At 45.1% G+C, this 23,639-nt stretch overlaps 2 protein-coding genes across 8 annotated transcripts in view, besides 2 other annotated features; one reads left to right on the top strand and one right to left on the bottom strand.

The window, feature by feature from the left end:
- Window positions 210–489: a silencer, noted in NCBI's record as "silent region_3600". NCBI's record gives its function as "represses an Ori minimal core promoter by ATAC-STARR-seq in GM12878 lymphoblastoid cells {active_cell/tissue: GM12878}" and the evidence as "EXISTENCE:reporter gene assay evidence [ECO:0000049][PMID:35858748]".
- Window positions 412–13,301, top strand: RBM4B (RNA binding motif protein 4B). 7 transcript variants are annotated; one of them, XR_247214.4, is made up of 5 exons: window positions 412–535; window positions 1,208–1,631; window positions 9,008–9,684; window positions 11,806–12,027; window positions 12,721–13,301. XR_247214.4 is itself a non-coding variant. In NM_031492.4 (4 exons), exons 2-3 carry the CDS (start codon window positions 1,220–1,222, stop codon window positions 9,673–9,675), a joined length of 1,080 nt encoding a protein of 359 aa, NP_113680.1. In that variant the 5' UTR covers window positions 412–535; window positions 1,208–1,219; the 3' UTR covers window positions 9,676–9,684; window positions 12,721–13,301. The 7 variants fall into 7 exon arrangements, 4 of the variants coding, with proteins under 4 accessions (NP_113680.1, XP_011543599.1, XP_016873891.1 ...); XR_247213.4 differs by having other exon boundaries at window positions 12,639–13,301; XR_007062509.1 differs by having other exon boundaries at window positions 9,008–12,027; window positions 12,639–13,301.
- Window positions 690–799: a silencer, noted in NCBI's record as "silent region_3599". NCBI's record gives its function as "represses an Ori minimal core promoter by ATAC-STARR-seq in GM12878 lymphoblastoid cells {active_cell/tissue: GM12878}" and the evidence as "EXISTENCE:reporter gene assay evidence [ECO:0000049][PMID:35858748]".
- RBM4 (RNA binding motif protein 4) overlaps window positions 9,919–23,639 on the bottom strand; it is a 29,678-nt gene continuing 15,957 nt past the window's right edge. Inside the window, exon 3 of the mRNA NM_001198844.2 lies at window positions 9,919–12,443. Within this exon, the coding sequence (NP_001185773.1) occupies window positions 12,334–12,443 (110 nt within the window). The 3' untranslated portion in view covers window positions 9,919–12,333. The remainder of the gene's footprint in view (window positions 12,444–23,639) is intronic.

Here is a 23,639-nt window from a genome sequence, read left to right as displayed (position 1 = left end):
ATGACTAGTTTTGCTTAAAATGTGGCGCACCTGTATTTTTGAAATGTTGCCCCAAGCTGCCACAGAAGCCGGCCAGCCCGCTACAAAAGCCCCTTTTTAGGGCCCTCGGGGAGATTCCTCTGTCATTAGCTCCCCGCCCCCCTCAAAGGGCCCAAGAGCAGGACCCATTGTGGTGAGCGACTCCCCAAGGCCTCCGCTTTTCTAGGCAGTGGTTGCGTTCAGAGCCCCTCTGACGCAGCAGTGGCGACCCTTTCCAGGGTGGTGACTGGCTGGCTGGGGCTGGGGGTGGGCTGACCTCCGCGGCGCCGCGCCACCACCAACAGGCCCCGCCCCCGTGCTGCGTGGTCATTTGTATGCAGCCTCGGGATTGGTCACTCGGCTCCCGCGAGGGGAAGGGGAGGGAAGCAGCGCGCACTCGCGCGTGCGTGAGCTGGCGCGCGAGAAAGGGCCCGGTCGCGTCCAGGCTCGAGCGGCCGTCGCCATTTTGTAAGGTTCTCTCTGACGTGGGAGCCGCCGTCGCTGCCGCCACCCGGAGGTGCGAGGGGGTCGTGTGTGTGTGATGTGGGGAGCTCGGGGGCGGGTCGGGCCGGGCCTCCGGCAGACTGCACGGCCCGGATTTGGGTTTCTCATTTTGCAGCGGGAGGTCTGGGAAGACAACGGGAGGAGGCGGGGCCGGGTCTCCGGAAGGAGGCGGGGCAGGGGTCGGGTCGAGTCTTTGTTGGGGCGAAGAAGCTGGAGGGTGGGCCGCTGGGGGCGAGGTGGTTGGTCCCCGGTTTGGGGGAAAGGGGACTTTTTTCTTTTTAGAGTATCTTGAAAGGCGCTAGTGCGCGCAGGAGAGGTACACAGATTTCCCTCCAAAACCTTGTTACCAGGCGCACTGCGATTGATGCCCCTTGCCTTTGCTTGGGCTTTTCTCTTCCCTCATTTTAAGACATGAAGCAGCTAATTCTGGTATTTCATTGCGCTCCACTTCACGGAGATGATAGACTGGGCTATGCATGCTGACCCTCGACCTCCTGTTTGCATGTCACGCATAGCTCGCACTTCTCGAGAACAAACCGCCCTTCTTCTATTGAGGAAGAATAATGAATGTCTGTACGAGGGTCTTGAAGGTGCAAGAACTTTGGAGGATTAGACGAAAATGCTGCAGTGCACCGAAATTTCCCACCACACCCCTGACTTTTGAAGTCTTGTGTTTCTCTCCCAGGCTCTTGTCAGGATGGTGAAGCTGTTCATCGGAAACCTTCCCCGGGAGGCTACAGAGCAGGAGATTCGCTCACTCTTCGAGCAGTATGGGAAGGTGCTGGAATGTGACATCATTAAGAATTACGGCTTTGTGCACATAGAAGACAAGACGGCAGCTGAGGATGCCATACGCAACCTGCACCATTACAAGCTTCATGGGGTGAACATCAACGTGGAAGCCAGCAAGAATAAGAGCAAAGCTTCAACCAAGTTACACGTGGGTAACATCAGCCCCACTTGTACCAACCAAGAGCTTCGAGCCAAGTTTGAGGAGTATGGTCCGGTCATCGAATGTGACATCGTGAAAGATTATGCCTTCGTACACATGGAGCGGGCAGAGGATGCAGTGGAGGCCATCAGGGGCCTTGACAACACAGAGTTTCAAGGTGAACTGCTCTGGGCCTGGGTAGTAGCGCCGAGTGGGGTCTAGCTCAAAACAGGCAAGAACACAAGACTATAGAACTTGCTGGGTGGTCTCTTCCATTCTGTTTTAGCTGGAAATAATAGATTATGTTTACCGCTCTTAAGCATAATTTACCCCTGGGGAAGCAAACACTTCCCCTTTTCAGGTTTGCTAAGATGTTGCTCACCGACTGCATAGAATCACAAACTGTGGGTTACTTTACCCTGCGGGATTCTTGCATTGATTCGAGTGCTGTTGGAAGTGTAATCTGCTTGGGGAAACGAGTACCTCATGAGAGAAGGGAGGATAAAGGTCCGTGGCTTACCTGCTTCTTTGGTGATGATCAGGAAGCCTTATATTTGAGGGTTTAAGTGCTTAAGATTTATATTCTTTACTGCTTTGGGTGGATACTGGTGGGAAAGAAGAAAAAAGACATCTAGAGGAAGCCCTATATTATAAATCTGGGTGGCAAGTCTGGATCTGCGGGAGTATCTTTTTGTTGATCAAAGTTGTGCAGTCTCTTCAAGCAGAGTCAAAAAAACATGCCATGGAGTGTTCTGCTCCACCTGTTCATTTCACCCTCAGAAAAGGAAATTTCTAAATATATCAGACTCAATGGGAATGATGGTCCCGCTTCTGAAGAAATTTCAGTACAAGCATCGTAGAGCATATCATACTATTTATACCGATAATAAAGGTACATATGTTGTCATTAATACCACAAGAGGTTGTCAGAAGACTCTAGAACTGTGCTAATATGGTAACCACATGCGGCTTAGTAAATTGAAATTAACAGATTAGATAAAATTTAAAATTCAGTTTTTCAAGTGTATACCAGACACGTTTCAAGCACTCAGTAGTCATGAGGCCTGTGGCTACCGTATTAATAGAGACACAGAACATTTCCATCATCATAGAACATTCTTTTGGATAGCACTGTTCTACAAGTGTTTTGTTAACAGTATCGTCTTGGACCTCATGTTCATAGCCACTTTTGTGGTTCCTAAGTCAACACCTTTTTTGCCCTGAGTGTCATTAAAGGGGTTGTTAAGAAGTACTTTTGGGTCTTCTATTAAAACTAAAAAACAAAATGAGAAAAATAATGGGAGAAGAGGAAAAGTTGACCAGAGAAGGGTAAGAAAGTTTGCATAGTGGAGATGGGTAGAGGAGCACCATCAAGTATCTCCAGCTTCAGCCAGTGATGCCTTGGCCTTTAGCTGCTCTTTAAAGCATAGGGCAAAGGTTGCAGATACTTCCTACCATTAACTAGTGTGTGACCTTGGACAAGTGTTTTAACATTTCTCTGCTTCATTTTCCTCACTAAGATTGTCCCCACTTATGGAGTTAATGATCCCTACTGTACCTCCCTCACAGGATTGTAGTGGGGCTAGAATGAAGAAATCGATGTGAAAGTGTTTTGATAGTAAAAGCTCTTTATGATGACAGGTGATTGCTCTTTGCAACCATGAGTGTTTCTATTCTGGTTAGAAAATTATTGAAAGTGTGATAGCGAAGCTTTCCTTATTGGTTTGCTTTTCTTACATTTGTTTTTCTTTTTCTTATTTTGGAATGTTGTTGCATTTTCAGCTTTTAAAAGTATCTTAATTATTTTCATTTGATGGGGGAAATCATCATGATGGACAGTGGAGACTGGGGAAGGAGGGTTTTCTCCTGACAGGTAATGAGCAAAATGTAAAAGAATGTAAAGTTGGGTACAAACTGCAGAGGTATTCTAGTAATGTCATACAGAATGCCCTTACCTTTTAAATATATTTAATACAGGCAGGGTGCGGTGCCTCACACCTGTAATCCCACCACTTTGGGAGGCCAAGGCGGGTGGATCACCTGAGGTCAGGAGTTCGAGACCAGCCTGGCCAACATGGTGAAATCCCATCTCTACTAAAAATACAAGAAAACTAGCAAGGCGTGGTAGTGTGTGCCTGTAATCCCAGCTACTCGGGAGGCTGAGACAGGAGAATCGCTTGAACCTGGGAGGTAGAGGTTGCAGTAAACCGAGATTGTGCCACTGTATTCCAGTCTGGGCAACAGCGAGACTCCTTCTCAAAAAAGAAAAAAAAAAAACCATATATATATTTAATACAACTGAATAAAAGGAAAAGGACAGGCCGGGTGCTGTGGCTCACGCCTGTAATCCCAGCACTTTGGGAGGCCAAGGCGGGGGGATCACGAGGTCAGAGATTGAGTCCATCCTGCTCAACATGGTGAAACCCCGTCTCTACTAAAAATACAAAAAAAAAATTAGCCGGCCATGGTGGCAGGCGCCTTGTAGTCCCCACTACTCGGGAAGCTGAGGCAGGAGAATAGCGTGAACCCAGGAGGCAGAGCTTGCAGTGAGCCGAGATCATGCCACTGTACTCCAGCCTGGGGGACAGAGCAAGACTCCATCTCAAAAAAAAAAAAGAAAGAAAAGAAAAAGAAAAGCTACCTGAAGTTAATAAAAAAAAAAAAAAAAGAAAAAAAAATCAGTTAATTGGGGGGAGTTGGCTTAGGATGAATATGTGTTTTAATAAGGCAGGTATAATTACTTTAGGATGTATCTGAATAATGCAGTGGATCCATAAGATTTTTAAAAACATCACTTCCTTAGAAAGTGCAAACACTAAAATGAATTGGAAAAGAAAAATCCTGTATTTGGTTTTCATGTTCTTAACTTGGCTCCTCTGGAGATAGCACTCTCCTCCTAGTTATAGAGACGTTTTTATAACTAGCTCTGGTTTTTTTTCTCCCAGATGACAAGAGCAAGCTTAGCACTGGATAGTAAGTTGTAGTTTTACAGAAAATACAGTCTGGATACCAGTTTGACACGTTTCAATTTAAGTTATTTTCAGTTGTCTACTAATGAAGGTGGCCTCTTAAAAGGGCCACTTGAGCCCGGGTGAGGTGGCTCACTCCTGTAATCCCAGCACTCTGGAAGGCCGAGGCGGGGGTGGATCACCTAAGGTCAGGAGTTCAAGACTAGCCTGGTCAACATGGTGAAACCCTGTCTCTACTAAAAATACAAAAATTAGCTAGGTATGGTGGCACACACCTGTAATCCCGGCTACTCAGGAGGCTGAGGCAGGAGAATCACTTGAACCCAGAGGCGGAGGTTGCAGTGAGTCAAGACCGTGCCACCGCACTCTAGCCTGGGCAGCAGAGCAAGACTTAGTCTCAAAAATGAACCAACAAAAAAGTGCCACTTGAACATCTTTTGAACCTTTATTTCTATATGTTAATGGCTGCCATTGAGGCTTTTTGCATTGTATGACTTCTAAAAGGAAGTAGCGGAATCTGAGTTTACTTTACTCTTTCAGGATCTGTTTCCTTTTTACAGCCAGCAGTGAACTCAACTTATTTCCTTAGACACATAGTTTGTATTGGAAGACCTAAAGAAGCTATTCCCAAATAACAATCAGGCAGCTTAATTGGGAAGAATGTGTGAGAGTTCAGGTGTCTTTTTTTTTTTTCCCTATATGTAAACAAGCATTAAGTCAGAATACTACTCTGTATTAGCTACATCCCCAGTCTTTTCTGGATCATGGCACTTGATAGGCGCTCAGAAATTAAGACCCCAAGTTTCCCACTTCTCAGCATTTTAATGCTCTTTTCTGTTACAGCTTTCAAAATAAAACACTTATAGGGCTGGTTTTCTGGAAAATGTTGGCAACAAACTTCAGTAACTTTTGGAAGTCCCAGGAAATTTTAAGCTTTTGGCCTACTTTGTCCAAGTGTAGTAGAGTAGAAGAATTAATCTTTCATTTTTCTTTGCCCTGGTTCCTTAAGGTATAATAATAGAGAGGCATAGTCTTTTTCAATTACTATAAAAACTTTAGGGTATTTAAATTTAAAGGCTAGGCTGGATGTGGTGGCTCATGCCTGTAATCCCAGCCCTTTGGGAGGCCGAGACAGGCGGATCACCTGAGGTCAGGAGTTCGAGACCAGCCTGGCCAACATGGTGAAACCTCGTCTCCACTAAAAATAGAAGAAATTAGCCAGGTGTGGTAGCGTGCGCCTGCAGTCCCAGCTACTCGGGAGGCTGAGGCAGGAGAATTGCTTGAGCCCAGGAGGCAGAAGTTGCAGTGAGCCGAGACTGCGCCACTGCACTCCAGCCTGGGCGACAGAGCAAGAATCTGTCCCCCCCCCCCAAAAAAATTAATAAAAATAAATTAAAAGGCTAATTATAACCGTTGGAAGGACTGGTTGTTTTGGTTTTTTTGTGGGTTTTTTTTTTTTTTTTTTTTTTTAGACAGTCTTGCTCTATTGCCTAGGCTGTAGTGCAGTGGCACAATCTCAGCTCACTGCAGCCTCCGCCTCCCGGGTTCAAGTGATTCTTGTGCCTCAGCTTCCCAAGTAGCTGGGACTGCAGGCATGTGCCACCATGCCCAGCTAATGTTTTGTATTTTTTTAGTAGAGAGGGGGTTTCACCATGTTGGCCAGGCTGGTCTCGAACTTCTGGCCTCAGGTGATTGGCTCACCTCAGCCTCCCAAAGTGCTGGGATTACAGATATGAGCTACCACACCCAGCTTGGAGAAACTGTTTGAAAAAATTTTTTTAAACTCGTCACCCCTATTATAGATTTTTTTAGTTCTAGGTTAAAAAATTGGGCCGGGTGCAGTGGTCACGCCTGTAATCCCAGCACTTTGAGGGGGCTGAGGCGGGTGGATCACGAAGTCAGGAGTTCAAGACTAGCCTGGCCAAGATGGTGAAACCCCATCTCTGCTAAAAATACAAAAATTGCTTTAAAACCACACCAATGGTGGCAGGTGCCTGTAATCTCAGCTACTCGGGAGGCTGAGGCAGGGAATTGCTTGAACCCGCGAGGTGGAGGTTGCAGTGAGCCGAGATTTCGCCACTGCACTCCAGCCTGGGCGACAGAGCAAAACTACGTCTCAAAAATCAAACAAACGCAACAAAAAAATTGATACCTGCATCCTTTTCACAACTACACAGAGGTAGATTTTACCACAGATAAACTTGATTTCCCACCCTCTAAATAAAAGCAGGAATGAAGATTGGATTTAGTTAAAAAACATCAAGGTAAAATTGCTGGGTTTTGTTTCTCCAAAAAATGGACCCAGAATCTATAAAAGTAAAGTGCAAATTTAATTGAATTTTTTTGTTAAAAATGTTACTTTTAGGTCTCTGGATTGGCTCCTTTTTAGACTGTCATGGTCACTCTGACTTCACAATTGGAGTATACTTTGTGTCTGTCACATAGCTTAATGTCACCATGTATATTTGAAAGCCAAGTCATTTATAATCTTTTAGTCTAAATTATAGGGAACTATGCATTTGAGATATAAATTGTGGCAGAAATCTGTGTTTCTGTTCAAAGCACAGTTAGCATTGTGGCCCCTAACATCTAACAATTAGGAGCATTTAAATCTCTGAAAACAATGGGATGGCAAAATGCTTTTAGAGATTTAGTGCCATTTTGGGTATCTGCTGACTCTATTGGTGATAGTGGATGCGGCCTGTCTCCTAGCAGTTGGAGGTATAAAGCCTGAGCACTTTTGTTTCTGCTAGAAACTGGAGTGATAGGACTCTTTGACATTGGGCAGAAGGAATTTGACTAAAGTGATATTGCCACACTAACCCGCTCCCCTCTCAGGGTCAGTGCATGGCACTGTTCTGGCTGCCGTCCTCAATAGGGCTATTTCCAACAGGATGGTGGAGCACAAGGCTTCCTCTCGCATAGCTGCATCCAGAAGAAGGTCTGTTAAAGAGAGAGCAACTTGCTGATTGCAGAGGGGGGATTTGTTCTCAGCAGTCCTTAAGAGTAATGAGAAGCCCTGTTCTTTTTATCTGTACTGACTGCGTTTTCCATTTTTTTTTTTTTTTTGAGATGGAGTCTCACACTGTTGCCCAGGCAGGATTGCAGTGGTATGATCTCCACTCACTGCAACCTCCACCTCCCAGGTTCAAGCGATTCTTCTGCCTCAGCCTCCCGTGCATTTTCTTTTGGCTACAATTTGGAAAGCACTGACTTGATCTCCAGGAGAGTCTTGTGCAACCTGGGACTAAATAATGCCAGGAATACTCCTTTTCTTTAACTGCTTTTAAAGACTTCAGATGCTTTCATCAGTAAGGGTCCATGGGTTTGGTGGTTCACAATCCCTGGGCAAAGATTGTTTTCTTCTCTTAGCTGTTCCTCAGTGCTGGTCATTTCCTGGAAGCCAAAATGGATGTGGCCCATTTGTGTGGGTTCCTAGAGGTCTCTAGGCAAATGCTGCATTTTTCTAACTAGTAGTTAATCCCTATAAAAATTGTAAGTTACATGGCAGGATGAAATGACAGTCATTTCATTACATGTCAAGACACTGTCCCTAAGAAAGCAGTACTGTTTCAAGATCTAATTCTTCTTGTTGAGAGACCTTGGTCAGGTAGCTTTCCACAGTAGCCTTGGGGGGGTCGGGGGTGGGTGGTGGGCTAAACTGAAATCTGAAAGGTCTTATAACTCCCAGAGATACTAGAGATGAAGCAGATGACAAGCCAGGTATGGTTTGTGTACCCATCATTGGAGCCTTCTGGTGACATCTGCAAAAATAGCTAGAGGAAACAAGATGGACGGACTATTGATGTGGTTTTTAAGCAGTAGTAAATACTCAGGCCTTAATCCTTAGTCAGTCAGTGAGAGATGGGCAAGATGCCGTCCAAATCTGGCTTAACTGAGGTTTTGTTGGTTGATTTTGGAAGTATTGGCAGAATTTGAATCATTACAAGTAATAACAATCTTAGTGAGAAGTGGAAACTTTTCCAATTGTTGTGTATAAGGGGAAAAAGGAAAGTTGTGGAGACAGAAACAGGAGGGAGTCTGGTCTATTCCTGGCCTAAGTAGAAAGTATTGACTGGTCTCTGAGGAATCAAATTTTCTAGCTCTCATCTGTATTAAACTTCAACTACTGGCAGGGCGCAATGGCGCATGCCTGTAATCCCAACACTTTGGGAGGCCAAGGCGGGCGGATCACCCAAGGTCGGGAGTTTGAGACCAGCCTGACCAACATGGAGAAACCCTGTCTCTACTAAAAATACAAAATTAGCCAGGCATGGCAGCGCATGCCTGTAATCCCAGCTACTCGGGAGGCTGAGGCAGGAGAATTGCTTGAATCCGGGAGGTGGAGGTTGCGGTGAGCTGAGATTGTGCCACTGCACTCCAGCCTGGGCAACAGGAGGGAAACTCCGTCTCAAAAAAAAAAACAAAAAAACTTCAACTACTTTTTAAAGGAGGTTGCTGAAATAGGGTCACAGGTGTGTGCGTCTATGTGTCTTATGACAACTAATTTACTTTCATTTGGGGAGGAGAGGAAAAAGAATGTCAAGTGAGTTAAAATAAATCTTCTTACATCTGTTCCCTCAAGGCAAAAGAATGCATGTGCAGTTGTCCACAAGCCGGCTTCGGACTGCCCCTGGTATGGGAGACCAGAGTGGCTGCTATCGGTGTGGGAAAGAAGGGCACTGGTCCAAAGAGTGCCCAGTAGATCGTACGGGTCGTGTGGCAGACTTTACTGAGCAGTATAATGAACAATATGGAGCAGTTCGAACACCTTACACCATGGGCTACGGGGAATCCATGTATTACAACGATGCATATGGAGCACTCGACTACTATAAGCGATACCGGGTCCGCTCTTATGAGGCAGTAGCAGCGGCGGCAGCGGCTTCTGCATACAACTACGCAGAGCAGACCATGTCCCATCTGCCTCAAGTCCAAAGCACAACTGTGACCAGCCACCTCAACTCTACTTCTGTTGATCCCTATGACAGACACCTATTGCCAAACTCTGGCGCTGCTGCCACTTCAGCTGCTATGGCTGCTGCTGCAGCCACCACTTCCTCCTACTATGGAAGGGACAGGAGCCCACTGCGTCGTGCTGCAGCCATGCTCCCCACAGTTGGAGAGGGCTACGGTTATGGGCCAGAGAGTGAATTATCTCAGGCTTCCGCAGCTACACGGAATTCTCTGTATGACATGGCCCGGTATGAACGGGAGCAGTATGTGGACCGAGCCCGGTACTCAGCCTTTTAAAAACTGGAGGTGAGAGATGGGTGGGAATGGTTAAAAGATTCCATTTAGTTCCCTTGAAAGAGACCCATGCTTCATAAAAGTGGCTAGAGCCACCTGTGCTCTCCGGACAGTATCCAAAAGGTGCAAATTACATGTTAGTCTTCAATATTTCTCTAGCTTAGGCCACAAGTTCCATTTGGCCTGTCAAGGTGTTAGTGTATGACTCCAACCAACTTGTTCCTTCTGAGAGAACAACAAATTCAGTTTGTTAGTGAGAACATTCTTTAATCAGTTGTAAGCATATTTGGGTTACAGAAAAACATTTGAGAGATCTAACATTTGTTATGTGCCCTCTGTATATCATCTACACGATAAGACTGAAATATTTTATTCTTTTACAGAGAAGGGAACTAAAGCTCAGAGAGGTTAAGTACTTTGCCCAAAGTCATTTGATAAATGAAAGGTAGAACCAGAATTCAAATTTGGACCTGTCTGATACCAAAACCCATACTCGCTCTACTACAGAAGTACTGTAGTGGTAAGCTGAAGGGTACAGGTTCAGGGGTTAGTAATGAATATCACAGTGAGAATTTTAACTATTACTTTAGGCTTATAGTTTGCTAATAAAATTGCTACCTGAAGGCAGAGGCAGTGGCTCACTCCTGTAATCCTAACACTGGGAGGCTGAGGCGGGAGGATCACTTGAGCCCAGGAGTTCAAGACCAGCCTAGGCAACATAGCAAGACCCTGTCTCTACAAAGAAAATTAAATTAGCAGGGTGTGATGGGGAGCACCTGTGATCCCAGCTACTCAGAATGCTGAGGTTGGAAGGATTGCTTGAGCCCAGGAGTTAAAAGAGGCTGCAGTGAGCTATGATCACACCACTGTATTCCAGCCTGGGCAACAGAGTGAGACTGTCTCTCCTTTATTTAAAAAAAAAAAAAAACCTACTTCTTGGGTCATTGTCCTTTGTCAAAGGAAACTCTTCTAATATCATACCTACATGCCAGAGGAAGTCCTATAAATTTTAAATGTTTACTTCCAAGACATTTACTTGAAAGTTGAATGTTTTGATGTTCTGTCCCATGGGGTCCTTATTGTAATCTAGACCATCTTGTTCTAGATGGGCACTTAAGCCCTGTTTCTTCATAGTCTGTTATGCTGTCATTTGGACCTGGATGCTTCCTGTTTCTTCCAGCAATTTTTGTTTGTGTTTTTTGTTGTTGAAGAGAGGAACATTTAAGGAGTTAGATAAACTGGTAATTTTCAGATGTGTAGAAAATTGCATAGGTGGTGAAAGCCAATGCCATAGGCTCTGAAATTTTACTATTTCCTACATCAGGAAATGTGTACCAAAAGTGCTAAAATGCCAAGAATAATTTTGAGTATCTAAAGATAGATAAATCTTTTCATCTGAGTGGAAATGGCATTATGACTTTATATTCTCATGGTTTTCCTTGTACCTTGAAATTGAGCATCACTTGAATTGGAGCCCCAGAAGCAAGGTTAAAGTGAGTTACTACTGAGTTTCTGGTGTTCCTAACTTATCCCTTTGGTATATATGTAGAAGATAACAAAGCAGCTGTGTACAGTGGCTTGTGCCTGTAGTCCCAACTATTCAGGAAGCTGAGGCTGGAGGATCCCTTGAGCCCAGGAGTGAGAGACTGCAGTTAGCCACTGCACTCCAGCCTGGGCAAGAGTGGCTCCTCTCTCTCTTAAAAAAAAAAAAAAAAATTAAAAAGCAAAGCCACAGCAATTTGCTCTTTTATGTGAATTGAGAAGCAAATGTTATGAACCTGTAATAAGTTGTACCCTATATGCATGTCAGCAAGACTTGAGATCTCTTGAGACCACCATGCAGCTAGTCTGTGTTTATGTGTGAAGCAAATGATCTTAAAATTTATAGTTTGCCATTAATTTTTACTTTTAATGCAGCTGGATCTAGCATGGGGTGGGACATGCTTCCGAAGTAAGCTGGTATAAATCTATCAGATAACCTGTCTCTTATGTTTCAAAGTTAAATATTAAATTCATATATTGTGGTCTTCAAAAGGTATTGCTAGGACATTTTAAAATGAATTTTGACTGCAAGCAGTGGTTGTTCAACTAACCTCTTTTTAGCGATGACTTTTAAAGAAACTTACCTTCCAGGTGTGAACCTCAAATGGACTGAATAACCCTGAGTTGGTTGCAGTCCCAGGAGCCTGATGTTAATGAGGCTGCCAGGATGAAATACTCCAGAACTGTTGGGGATCCAAATTCGGGTCTCACCCTAGCAGAACTGATCCAAGAACGTCACAACTTTTGAAGTCGATTGGCACAGATCAAGACCAAGATTTGGCCCTTTGTCTGTAATAAGTAGAGGAACTTGGTGTGAGTTAACTTTTTTTTTCCCCCAGCCATTGGTGTCTGGAGTTCCCATCATCAATAGAAGGATTAGAGAATTCTAGGAATGATTTCTTTTGATTTGGCAAGGGAGATTTGGTCAATTAGGGGAACTACTGGAACTGTGGCTCTCACTCTGTGACAGTGTGACATGTAGGTGTGTTGGAATTGGGTGAATGACTGGCTGCTCCTTGATATCCTACCCCTTGTGACCATCATTTCTGAAAGCTTGTTTACTGTGAAAGATTAAAACAAAACACATTTAGAATAGTGCAATTCGCCATATATGACATCTCAGCATCTTCTGCTTTTCCTGGACTCCAAAATTAAATTGCAGTTCTTGAAAATGTATGTATGCCCTTTGTTACAGCAACAGTAGCCTTCTGTCACAGGGGTTATCTTGCCTAAAAGATGGATAAGAAAGATGTATTTATCACCAACACATTCTTCAGCTAGATTGCATCTTGTCCTATATATATAGCCATAAGTGGATTCCTATATATAGCTATTGATAGACTCCTAGGTAATTACATGGGATATGAGTTAGATCCAGTCTGACTTGGTTTTGTTTTGTTCTTTTTTTTCCCCCCGGAATACAGGACAGGACCCAGGGCGCTTGTACGCGGAGCCAGGCTGCTCTCCAGGCATTGTGTAAGCCTCTTGTGTTGTGCTCTCTTTCAGGTAGGATAATTGCGGACTGAACCCTCGGGCTGCGGTCATATATGAGAACTTGCTCCGCGCGGTCCCCTTTGCCGGGATGTTTCCATTGCTTCATGTTTCAGTAAACAAAAGGAGTTTGTGACCAACTATGTTTTCTTTCTTAATTCTTCTAAGTTGACTTTTCTTTCCTCCTGAAACTAGTCTCTGTAGCCTTTCACTCTGTTCCTTATATTCTCAGCCTCTGAGCAGCCCTAGGTAAGGATTATGCTGGCATCCCCTTTTTCCTGTGCAGTGGAACCCCTCTTATCTTGCTTTCCCTAGGAGTTGAATCCTTCTCCCTGCCTACCTGCAGCATCTCCTTTCCCTTTAAAATGACCATGTAGTGGCAAGCAGCCTTTTACTCTTCTGTTAGCTCTGGACTCTTAACACTTAAGTTACTCTTCTGAAATTGCTAGGACCATTGGGGGTTTTGTTGTTTTGTTTGTTTTTTATGTCCGACCTGTGATCGTGGTACAGCATTAGCTGAAATTTACCCTTGTTTTACTCCACTCCTCCCTTTTTTAAAAAAATTTTTTGACAAATAAATGTTTCTAACACTTAAATATCTTTTTATGTTTGTCTTTTTATTCTCTCCCAGTTCTTAAGCTACAAAGTTCAAACTAATAGATGTCAGAAATTTAGATATAGAAGGAAGGATTTAAGCCCAGGCATGGTGGCTTACACCTGTAATCTTAGCACTTTGGGAGGTTGAGGTGGGCAGGTCACTTAAGCCCACTGAAGTTCAAGACCAGCCTGAGCAACATGTTGAAACCCTGTCTCTACCAAAAATAAAAAATCAGTTGGCCAGCTGGGCGTGATGGCTCACGCCTGTAATCCCAGCACTTTGGGAGGCCAAGGTGGGTAGATCACCTGAGGTCAGGTAGACCAGCCTGACCAATATCGTGAAACCCCATCTCTACTAAAATACAAAAATTAGCTGGGCGTGGTGGCAGGCGCCTGTAATCCCAGCTACTCAGGAGGCTGAGGCAGGAGAATCACTTGAACCCAGGAGGCAGAGGTTGCAGTTAGCCAAGATTGCACCATTGCACTCCAGCCTGGACAACAAGAGCGAAACTCCATCTCAAAAGAAACAAAAACAACAAAATTAGTTGGCCAGGCGCGATAGCTCACGCCTGTAATCTCAGCACTTTGGGAGACCGAGGCAGGCAGATCACCTGAGGTCAGGAGTTTGAGACTAGCCTGGCCAACATGGCGAAACCCTGTCCCTACTAAAAATACAAAAATTAGCCAGGCGTGGTGGCGAGTGCCTGTAGTCCCAGCACTTGGGAGGCTGAGGCAGGAGAATTGCTTGATCCCAGGAGGCAGAGGTTGCAGGGAGCCGAGATGGCACCACTGTACTCCCATCTCAAAAAAAAAAAAAAAAAAAAACAGCTGGGCATGGTGGTGCATGCCTGTAATCTCAGCTACTCAAGAGGCTGAAGTGGGAGACTCTTGAGCCCAGGAGGTTGAGGCTGCAGTGAGCTGTGATCATGCCACTGCACTCCATTCTGGGCAACAGGAGGCCCTGTCTCCAAAACAACAAAAAAGGATTTAGGTTAGTGCTGTGGCTTCAGTAATAGGTGGTAGGAAGTTAGCCAGATTCTTGAGACACTGCTAAATTTGCTACAGCTGGTGGTGAGGCTACTTTTCTCTAACCAGAGCTGCTCTTAAACCAGTTTAAAGGCTAACAGACTCAGATTAGTAGTGCTAGGAGTAAGCCCTGCATCAGAAAAAGGCTGAGCCAGATTCTCTCCAAGGACCTATCACATTAACTAAATTTGACTTCATAGTTTTCTGGCTCATATTTACAAAACAAAAAGAAAACATATATACACACACACACACACACACACACACATATACACACACATTTTTGCCTAGTTACCACCCCTCTCCAGTGTTTCTCCTTTTTTAATTTTTAAAAAACAATTAGGCCAGGCACAGTGGCTCATGCCTGTAATCCCAGCACTTTGGGAGGCCAAGGCACACGAATCACGAGGTCAGGAGATCAAGACTAAAATACAAAAAATTAGCTGGATGTGGTGGCGGGCGCCTGTAGTCCCAGCTACTCGGGAGGCTGAGGCAGGAGAATGGCGTGAACCAAGGAGGCAGAGGTTGCACTGAGCCGAGATCACGCCACTGCACTCCAGCCTGGGTGACAGAGCGAGACTCCATCTCAAAAAAATAAAAAATTAAATTCACTTATGAGCTATTAAAAGAGGTCTGTCTTCCCAAGGTGCTAATATTCTGCTAGGATTAGGCTTTGGCTAAAATATTCATACATAGTACTTTGAGCAGAAAAGCAAATCACATATTAATGATTAGCAGTGACATTTTGCAGTAAAGTATGTCTTCTAGATTATGGACATCTTATTTATCTTTGTTTAGATCCCCATAGAACACATTTAATGATGGACTCAACTCTACTTAAGCTTTATTGTACTTTATATGGAAATGTTGATGTGTAAATTCTGACTACATGTGAAATTTTACCTACAATAATAAAGCATTTACCTCACATATTTTATACTTAATCTTGACAGGTGAAGCAAAAATTTTCCCTTATTTCTTAGGGGAATGGTCTGACAATCTACAGAAGTTAACCTGTCCATCCATGCACACATTCCAACCAGTGGTGATGTACATAAGGCTCATGTTAGCGTCAGTATTCCCCAAGGAAGCAAGACTGTCTCTGTTTTACAAAAGGGAAAATAAGGCAAAGATGCTGGGATTTTCTTATGATCTGCAAGGCACTATGCAGAGCCAAGAAAAAAAATTTGCAGGTTTTGCTGGCCTCAGCAAAATCTCTGGTGGTTCTGTGCTAGGTTTCAACCAATTTAACATAGGAAGTTTAACATATACCAGGTGCGTGACTCACGCCTGTAATCCTAGCATTTTGGGAGGCTGAGGCAGGTGGATTGCCCGAGCTCAAGAGTTTGAGACCAGCCTGGGCAACATGGTGAAACCCCATCTCTACTAAAAATACAAAAAATTAGCCGGGCATGGTGGTGTGCACCTGTAATCCCAGCTACTAGGGAGGCTGAGGCACAAGAATCGCTTGAACCCAGGAGGCAGAGGTTACAGTGAGCCAAGATCACGCCAATGCACTCCAGCCTGGGCAACAGAGTGAGACTCTGTCTCAAAAAAATAAATAAATAAATAAAAGTATCTTGATTTCTATGTCATTGGCACAAGAAAAAAAATTTTCTGCAAAAGAGTTCTATATCATCACTGCCCAATAACACTCCTGGCAGTGATGGAAGTGTTCCATATCTGTGCTGTCCAATTTGTGGCTACTGTGGTTACTGAGTACCTGAAATGTGGTTTATTCCACTGAGAAACTGAGTTTTTTATTTAATTATAATTAGCTACATGTAGCTAGTGGCTACTCTATTGGACAGCAGTTTAGATAGTAAAATAAGCTGCTCATAGGTGGAGAAAAAGCCCTGCAGAATTGCATAATTTTTATTTTAGAAAACCTTTCACACCAAAAGAGTACTGTTGAGTAGGACAAATGTATTTTTTTGTTTTGAGATGGAGTCTCGCTCTGTCACTGAGGCTGGAGTGCACTGGCATGATCTCGGCTCACTGCAACCTCTGCCTCCCAGGTTCAAGCAATTCTCCTGTCTCAACCTCCCCAGTAGCTGGGATCACAGTCGCGCGCCACCACGCCTGGTGAATTTTCGTATTTTTAGTGGAGATGGGGTTTCACCATATTGGTCAGGCTGGTCTTGAACACCTGACCTCAGGTGATCCACCCACCTCGGCTTCCCAAAGTGCCGGGATTACAGGCGTGAGCCACCACACCTGGCCAATGTTTTTATTCCTAAACCTTACTTCTTATATGATAAATTGCATATTGTGAATACAAAATTCCTTTAGTTCACCAAGTTTCTCACTATAGACCATTTCAGAGTCCCATGAGGCCTCTCAACGCTAAAAGCTCCTGAATTCATTTATCAACTGTTTGAATTCCTACTATGAGCTAGGATGTGGGAACATGGTGATGAATGAGGCATATGTGGTTTCTGTAGCCTCAGATCTACCCCCTTCCTCAGGTTTCCAGCATGGCACAGAAAGACACTAGGCCCTCAGGGCACTCAAGGTGCTGTTAGAAACTTGTCCTAAGGGCAGAAAAAGGTTGGCTGCCTGCAAGATGGACCAGAAAAGGGAAGCAACTTGCCCCAGATTGGTTTCATAGCTTGTCAGGATTTTGCTTACAAACCTGGTCCTCAGGAAGTCACCTGGCCTAGGAGATTTGGGAAAAGGAAGGAGGGGAGAAATAAATATTCCTGGGAAGAGCTGTCAGTTTGTTGGAAGATCAATCTCGGCTTTCTTCAGACCAGAGCTAGGCTCTGCCGCTGAGGAGAAATGAAATGCAAGAAATGATAGAATCAGCTCCAGGAACTTGCAGGAGAAGAATGAAAAATCTGACGAGATGAATTCAATCTGAAGTGCCTTAGGTTTGCAGGGCCTTTGAGAATCCAGGCCAAATTCAAACCGTGTATCTGTCACCCCTGCAAATCCACAAGAACCCAATGAGGTAGCATCACTGGCTCTCCCAGCAATTAAGGCTACTGAGATTTAGAAAGTTTAGGCCGGGCACGGCTGAGCGCAGTGGCTCACGCCTGTAATCCCAGCACTTTGGGAGGCCGAGTCGGGTGGATCACGAGGTCAGGAGATCGAGACCATCCTGGCTAACATGGTGAAACCCTGCCTCTACTAAAAATACAAAAAAAATTAGCCAGGTATGGTGGCACATGCCTGTAGTCCCAGCTACTCGGGAGGCTGAGGCAGAAGAATGGCGTGAACCCGGGAGGCAGAGCTTGCAGTGAGCTGAGATCGCACCACTGCACTCCAGCCTGGGCGACAGAGCAAGACTCCATCTCAAATTAAAAAAAAAAAAAAAAAGTTTAGGTCGGGTGCAGTGGCCTACCTACACCTGTAATCCCAGCACTTTGGGAGCCGAGGTAGAAGGATCACCTGAGGTCTGGAGTTTGAGACCAGCCAGGACAACATGGCGAAACCCTGTCTCTACTAAAACTACAAAAAAATTAGGCAGAAGCCTGTAATTCCAGCTATTCAGTAGGCTGAAGTAGGAGAATCACTTGAACCCAGGAGGCAAAGGTTGTAGTGAGCCAAGATCGTGCCACTGCACTCCAGCCTGGTTGCAGAGCAAGACTCTGTCTCAAAAAAAAAAAAAAAAAAAGAGAGACTCCCATCTCAAAAAAAAAGAAATTGTGATAAGTACCACAAATTACACAAAATGGGTCCAATGGCAGGGAATAATGGGAGGACATATCTACTAAGCTACAGGTGGTTTGGGAGGGCATTCCAATACTTGATCCTGAAGCTAAGACCTGAAGTTAAGTTAGCTCTAAAGCAGTAAAGAGAAAGGTCCCTTCAGATTTAAAAAAAAAAAAAAAAAAAAGGCCCTGAGGCAGGAAAGAGCTCAGTGTATACAAGGATCTGAAAGGAGAGTCAGTATGGTCAGAAAAGGATAGATAAGCAGGGAAAAGGGCCTGAGATAATAAAGTGTGACAGAGGAAAGGCACGTTCAAACTAAGGGATTGGGCATTTTACTTTAGATAAAAGGGGAAGTTGCTGAAAGGTTCTAAGTAACGAAAGAAACATCTGATTTACATACATTTCACAAGAACATTCTGGCTATTAAATGGAGAATACTTTGAAGACCCAAGGGTAAGAAAAAGATGGACCTGGAGGTCACTGTAGTCATCTTGGTGGGAGAGGATAGCATGGTCTAGACTATGGCTGTGGCAAAGACATGGAGAAAAGAGGCAACATGTGATATAAACATGATCAAGAGCTGCTAATGGTTGGGGAGGGCGTAAGAATGACTACCAGCAATCTGGCTGAAAGAGAGAATGGGATAAGGAAGACTGAAGGAGAAATGATTTTAGAGTGGGGAGTCTCAGGAGCTCTATCTCAGATATACCAAGTTTGAGGTGTATTAAGACAACCAGCCAGGTGCAGTAGCTCATGCCTGTAATCCCAGCAAGTTGGGAGGCCAAGGCGGGCAGAACCCGAGGTCGGTAGTTCGAGACCAGCCTGGCCAATATGGTGAAATCCCGTCTCTAAATTTTGTATCTAAAGATACAAAAATTAGCCAGGTGTAGTGGCACGTGCCTGTAGTCCTAGCTACTCAGGAGACTGAGGCAGAAGAATCACTTGAATCCGGGGGGCGGAGCTTGCAGTGAGCCGAGATCGCGCCACTGCACTACAGCCTGGGCAACAGAGTGAGACTCCATCTCAAAAAAAAAAAAAAAAAAAAAAAAAGAACCAAGAAGAAATGTCAGCTAGGTGTCCAGATCCCTGAATCTTGAGCACAGAAGAGAGGTTTCAAACTGGAGATATCAAGAGTCTTTAGCACCTGGATCAGTGTTACATAACAGAAATACAATGTGAGCCACAAATGCAAACCACATAGGGAACTGAAACAGGTGAAATTAAATTGTATTAATTTTATTTTCCCCAGATAGTCTGGTGGTTAGGAAAAAAAAAAATTTTAATGTATTTTTACCCAATATGTGCAAAAAAATGACCATTTCAACATATAATGAGCATTAAAAACTGAATATATATATATATATATTTTTTTTTTTTGAGAGACACTCTTGCTCTGTTGCCCAGGCTAGAGTGCCGTGGCCCAATCTTGGCTCAATAGAACCTCCGCCTCCCAGGTACAAGCAATTCTCCTGTCTCAGCCTCCCAAGAAGCTGGGACTACAGGCACGTGCCACCACGCCTGGCTAAGTTTTGTATTTTTAGTAGAGATGGGGTTTCACCACCTTGGCCAGGCTGGTCTCAAACTCCTGACATCAAGTGATCTGCCCACCTTGGCCTCCCAAAGTGCTGGGATTACAGGCGTGAGCCACTGCGCCTGGCTTATATTAATTTTTTAAATCCCATAGGTATTTGGTACTCGCAGCACTGTATATGTCTCTGGCTACCACACTGAACAGCACAACTCCATATGGTATACAAAGCCAAAGCAATGAATGAAGTCTTGAAGAGGATTTCAAACTTGGCACTAGTGATAACTGGGAAAGGTGCCCCTCCTGTGCATTGGAGGATGTTTAGCCACATCCCTGGCGGGAGAAACCCCCTAAATTGTGACAATTAACAATGATTTCAGGGAATCTCTGAGCCTATTCTAGTTGCCCATTTAAAACAAAACGAAAAAAAAAAAAAAAAAAAAAAAAAGGTCAGACTAGGCCAGGCACAGTGGCTCACGCCTGTAATCCCAGCATTTTGGGAGGCCGAGGCAGGCGGATTACCTGAGGTCGGGAGTTCAAAACCAACCTGACCACCACGGAGAAACCCCATCTCTACTAAAAATACAAAATTAGACGGGCGTGGTGGTGCATGCCTGTAATCCCAGCTACTAGGGAGGCTGAGGCAGCAGAATCGCTTGAATCCAGGAGGCAGAGGTTGCACTGAGCCGAGATCGTGCCGTTGCACTCCAGCAGCCTGGGCAACAAGAGCAAAACTCCATCTCAAAAAAAAAAAATTTTAAAAAAGGGTCAGACTAGGTGGCTCACGCCTGTAATCCCAGCACTTTGGGAGGCTGAGGCAGGCAAATGGCTAGAGCTCAGGAGTTCAAGACCAGCCTGGGCAACATGGCAAAACCACAACTACAAAATACAGAAATTAGTTGGGCATGCTGGCATGCGCCAGTGGTCCCAGCTACTCGGGAGGCTGAGGTGAGAGAATTGCTTGAGCCCGGGAGGAGGTGGAGGTTGAACACGGCACTCCAGCCTGGGTGACATAGGAAGACCCTGTCTCAAAAAAAAGGTGGGGGAGGGGGCAGGCGAGGTGGCTCATGCCTATAATTTTTTTTTTTTTTTTTTTTTTTTTTGAGATGGAATCTTGCTCTGTCGCCCAGGCTAGAGTGCAGTGGCGCTATCTCATCTCACTGCACCCTCCACCTCCCGGGTTCAAGTGATTCTTCTGCCTCAGCCTCCCAAGTAGCTGGGACTACAGGTGCGCACCACGACAACTGGCTAATATTTTACATTTTTAGTAGAGACGGGGTTTCATCATGTCGGCCAGGCTGCTCTCGAGCTCCTGACCTCAAGTGATCCACCCCCTCGGCCTCCCAAAGTGCCGGGATTACAGGTGTGAGCCACCGCGCCCGGCCTAATCTTAGTAGTCTGGAAGGCTGAGACAAGAGTATAGCTTGAGCCAGGAGTTCCTAACCAGCCTGGGCAACATAGGGAGACCCCATCTCTACCAAAAGATAAAAATAAAAAATAAATTAGCCAGGTGCAATGGTGCATACCTCTGTAGTTCCAGCTACTTGGAAGGTTGAGATGGGAAGACCGCTTCAGCTCAGAAGGTTGAGGCTGCATTGAGCCATACTCATACCACTGTACTCCAGCCTAGGCAACAGAGCAAGACCGCACCTAAAAAAAAAAAAAAAAAAAAAAAAAGACTAAAAAATTGATCAGGGGCTGAGGATTAACTACAAAGGGGCACAAGGGCTTTTTGGCTGACAAAAATGTTCTGTATTTTGATTGCAACAATGGGAACAAGATTGTAACCATCAGTTACCAAAATTACCAGTACATTGTCAAACTGGGCATGGTGGCTCACGACTGTGCCTATAATCCCAGCACTTTGGGCGGCCAAGGTGGTGGATCACCTAAGGTCAGGAGTTCAAGACCAGCCTGGCCAACATGGTGAAACTCCGTCTCTGCTAAAAATATAAAAATTAGCTGGACATGGTGGCATGCATCTATAATCCCAGTTACTCAAAAGGCTGAGGCACAAAAATCGCTTGAACCCGGGAGGTGGAGATTGCAGTGAACCGAGATCATGTCACTGCACTCCAGCCTGGGCAATAGAGTGAGACACCATCTTTTTAAAAAACAAAACAAAAGGCCCCCCAAAAAAGTACATTGTCACAATGTGTCAAATTGTTTTCAAAATTGGTATATTTTATTGTTTGAAAATAATACTTCAGGCCGGGCATAGTGGCTCATGCCTGTAACCTCAGCATTTTGGGAGGCCAAGGTGAGCAGATCAACTGAGGCTGGGAGTTCGAGACCAGTCTGACTGACATGGAGAATCCCCGTCTCTACTAAAAAAATAGAAAATTAGGCCAGGCACGGTGGCTCACACCTGTAATCCCAGCACTTTGGGAGGCCGAGGCGGGTGGATCACAAGGTCATGAGATCGAGACCATCCTGGCCAACACAGTGAAACCCTGTCTCTACTAAAAATACAAAAACAAAATTAGCCAGGCGTGGTGGCAGGTGCCTGTAGTCCCAGCTACTTCAGAGGCTGAGGTGGGAGAATGGCGTGAACCCAGGAGGTAGAGCTTGCAGTGAGCTGAGATTGTGCCACTGCACTCCAGCCTGGGTGACAGAGCGAGACTCCGCCTAAAAAAAAAAATACAAAATTAGCCGGGCATGGTGGCGGGCACCTGTAATCCCAGCTACTCAGGAGGCTGAGGAAGGAGAATCACTCGAACCCGCGAGGCGGAGGTTGTGGTGAGCTGAGATTGCACCATTGCACTCCAGCCTGGGCAACAAAAGCAAAACTCCATCTAAAAAAAAAAAGAATACTTCAGGGCCGTCTCTTCCTGGTTCTTCCCAGAGTCAGGAAAAACTGGGTTGAAAGGGTGTTTAAAAAAAAAACTCAGAAAAGCTGATTTTTTAAAAAAGTAATCACATTATGACACTGCTTAAAAACCTACAAGACTAGTTGACTCAGAGTGAAGGCCAGAAAGGCCCTAGAAGATTAACTACTAGATCTGCTAACTACCTGACCTCTTCTGCTCCTCTCTCCTCCCACTCACTCTTTTGCCACTGGCCTCCTTACTGTTAGAACACTCCCACCTTAAGACCCTTGCTCAAGATATTCTCTCTACCTGGCGTACTTTTCCCCCAGATACCTGTTGCTAACTTACATCTAATTCAACTCATTGCTCAAATCTCACTTTTTTAAAAGAGGCCCAGGCCGGGTGCAATGGCTCATTCCTATAATCCCAGCACTTTGGGAGGCCGAGGTGAGAATCGCTTGAGCCCAGGAGTTCAAGAGCACCGTAGGCAACATAGCGAAACCCTGTATCTACAAGAAATACGAGTGGGATGTAGTGGCATGCCTGTAGTCTCAGCTACTCGGGAGGCTGGGGTAGGAGGACCAACTGAGACTGGGAGGTGGAGGTTGCAGTGAGCCAAGATCACCCCACTGCACTGCAGTCTGGGTGACAGAGTGAGACCCTGTCTCAAAAAAAAAAAAAGAAAAGAAGTGCCGAGTGCAGTGGCTCATGCCTGTAATCTCAACACTTTGGGAGGCCAAAGCGGGTGGATCACCTGAAGTCAGGAGTTCGAAACCAGCAGGGCCAACATGGTGAAACACCATCCCTACTAAAAATACAAAAATTAGCCAGGCGTGGTGGTGCATGCCTGTAATCCCAGCTACTGAGGATGCTGAGGCAGGAGAATCGCTTGAACCTAGGAGGCAGAGGTTGCAGTGAGCCGAGATCATGCCACTGCACTCCAGCCTGGGCAACAAGAGCAAAACTCCATCTCAAAAAAAAAATTTAGCTGGGCGTGGTGGTATGCGCCTGTAATCCTAGCTACTCAGGAGGCTGAGGGAGAAGAATCACTTGAACCTGGGAGGCGGACGTTGTAGTGAGCCGAAATGGCGCCACTGGACTCCAGCCTGGGCGACGTAGGGAGACTCCATCTCAAAAAATAAAAAGAAATTATCTGTAGGCTGGGCACAGTGGCTCACACCTGTAATCCCACCACTTTGGTAGGCTGAGGCAGGATGATCACTTAAGCGCAGGAGTTCAAGACTAGGCTGGGCAAAATGGGAAAACCTTGCCTCTAAAAAAAAAAAAAAAACAAAATTAATCAAAACTGAGCTGGG

Source organism: Homo sapiens, chromosome 11, assembly GCF_000001405.40.
Source record: "Homo sapiens chromosome 11, GRCh38.p14 Primary Assembly".
Classification (NCBI taxonomy): Eukaryota; Metazoa; Chordata; class Mammalia; order Primates; family Hominidae; genus Homo; species Homo sapiens.
This window is presented reverse-complemented; position numbering and strand designations above follow the sequence as displayed.

What these genes read in the sequence shown, in the direction of transcription:
- RBM4B (NM_031492.4), top strand. Translation starts at nt 1,220, where the DNA reads ATGGTGAAGCTGTTCATCGGAAACCTTCCCCGGGAGGCTACAGAGCAG. An exon ending in TGACAACACAGAGTTTCAAG is followed by an intron (nt 1,632 to 9,007) that starts GTGAACTGCTCT and finishes TGTTCCCTCAAG; the next exon opens with GCAAAAGAATGCATGTGCAG.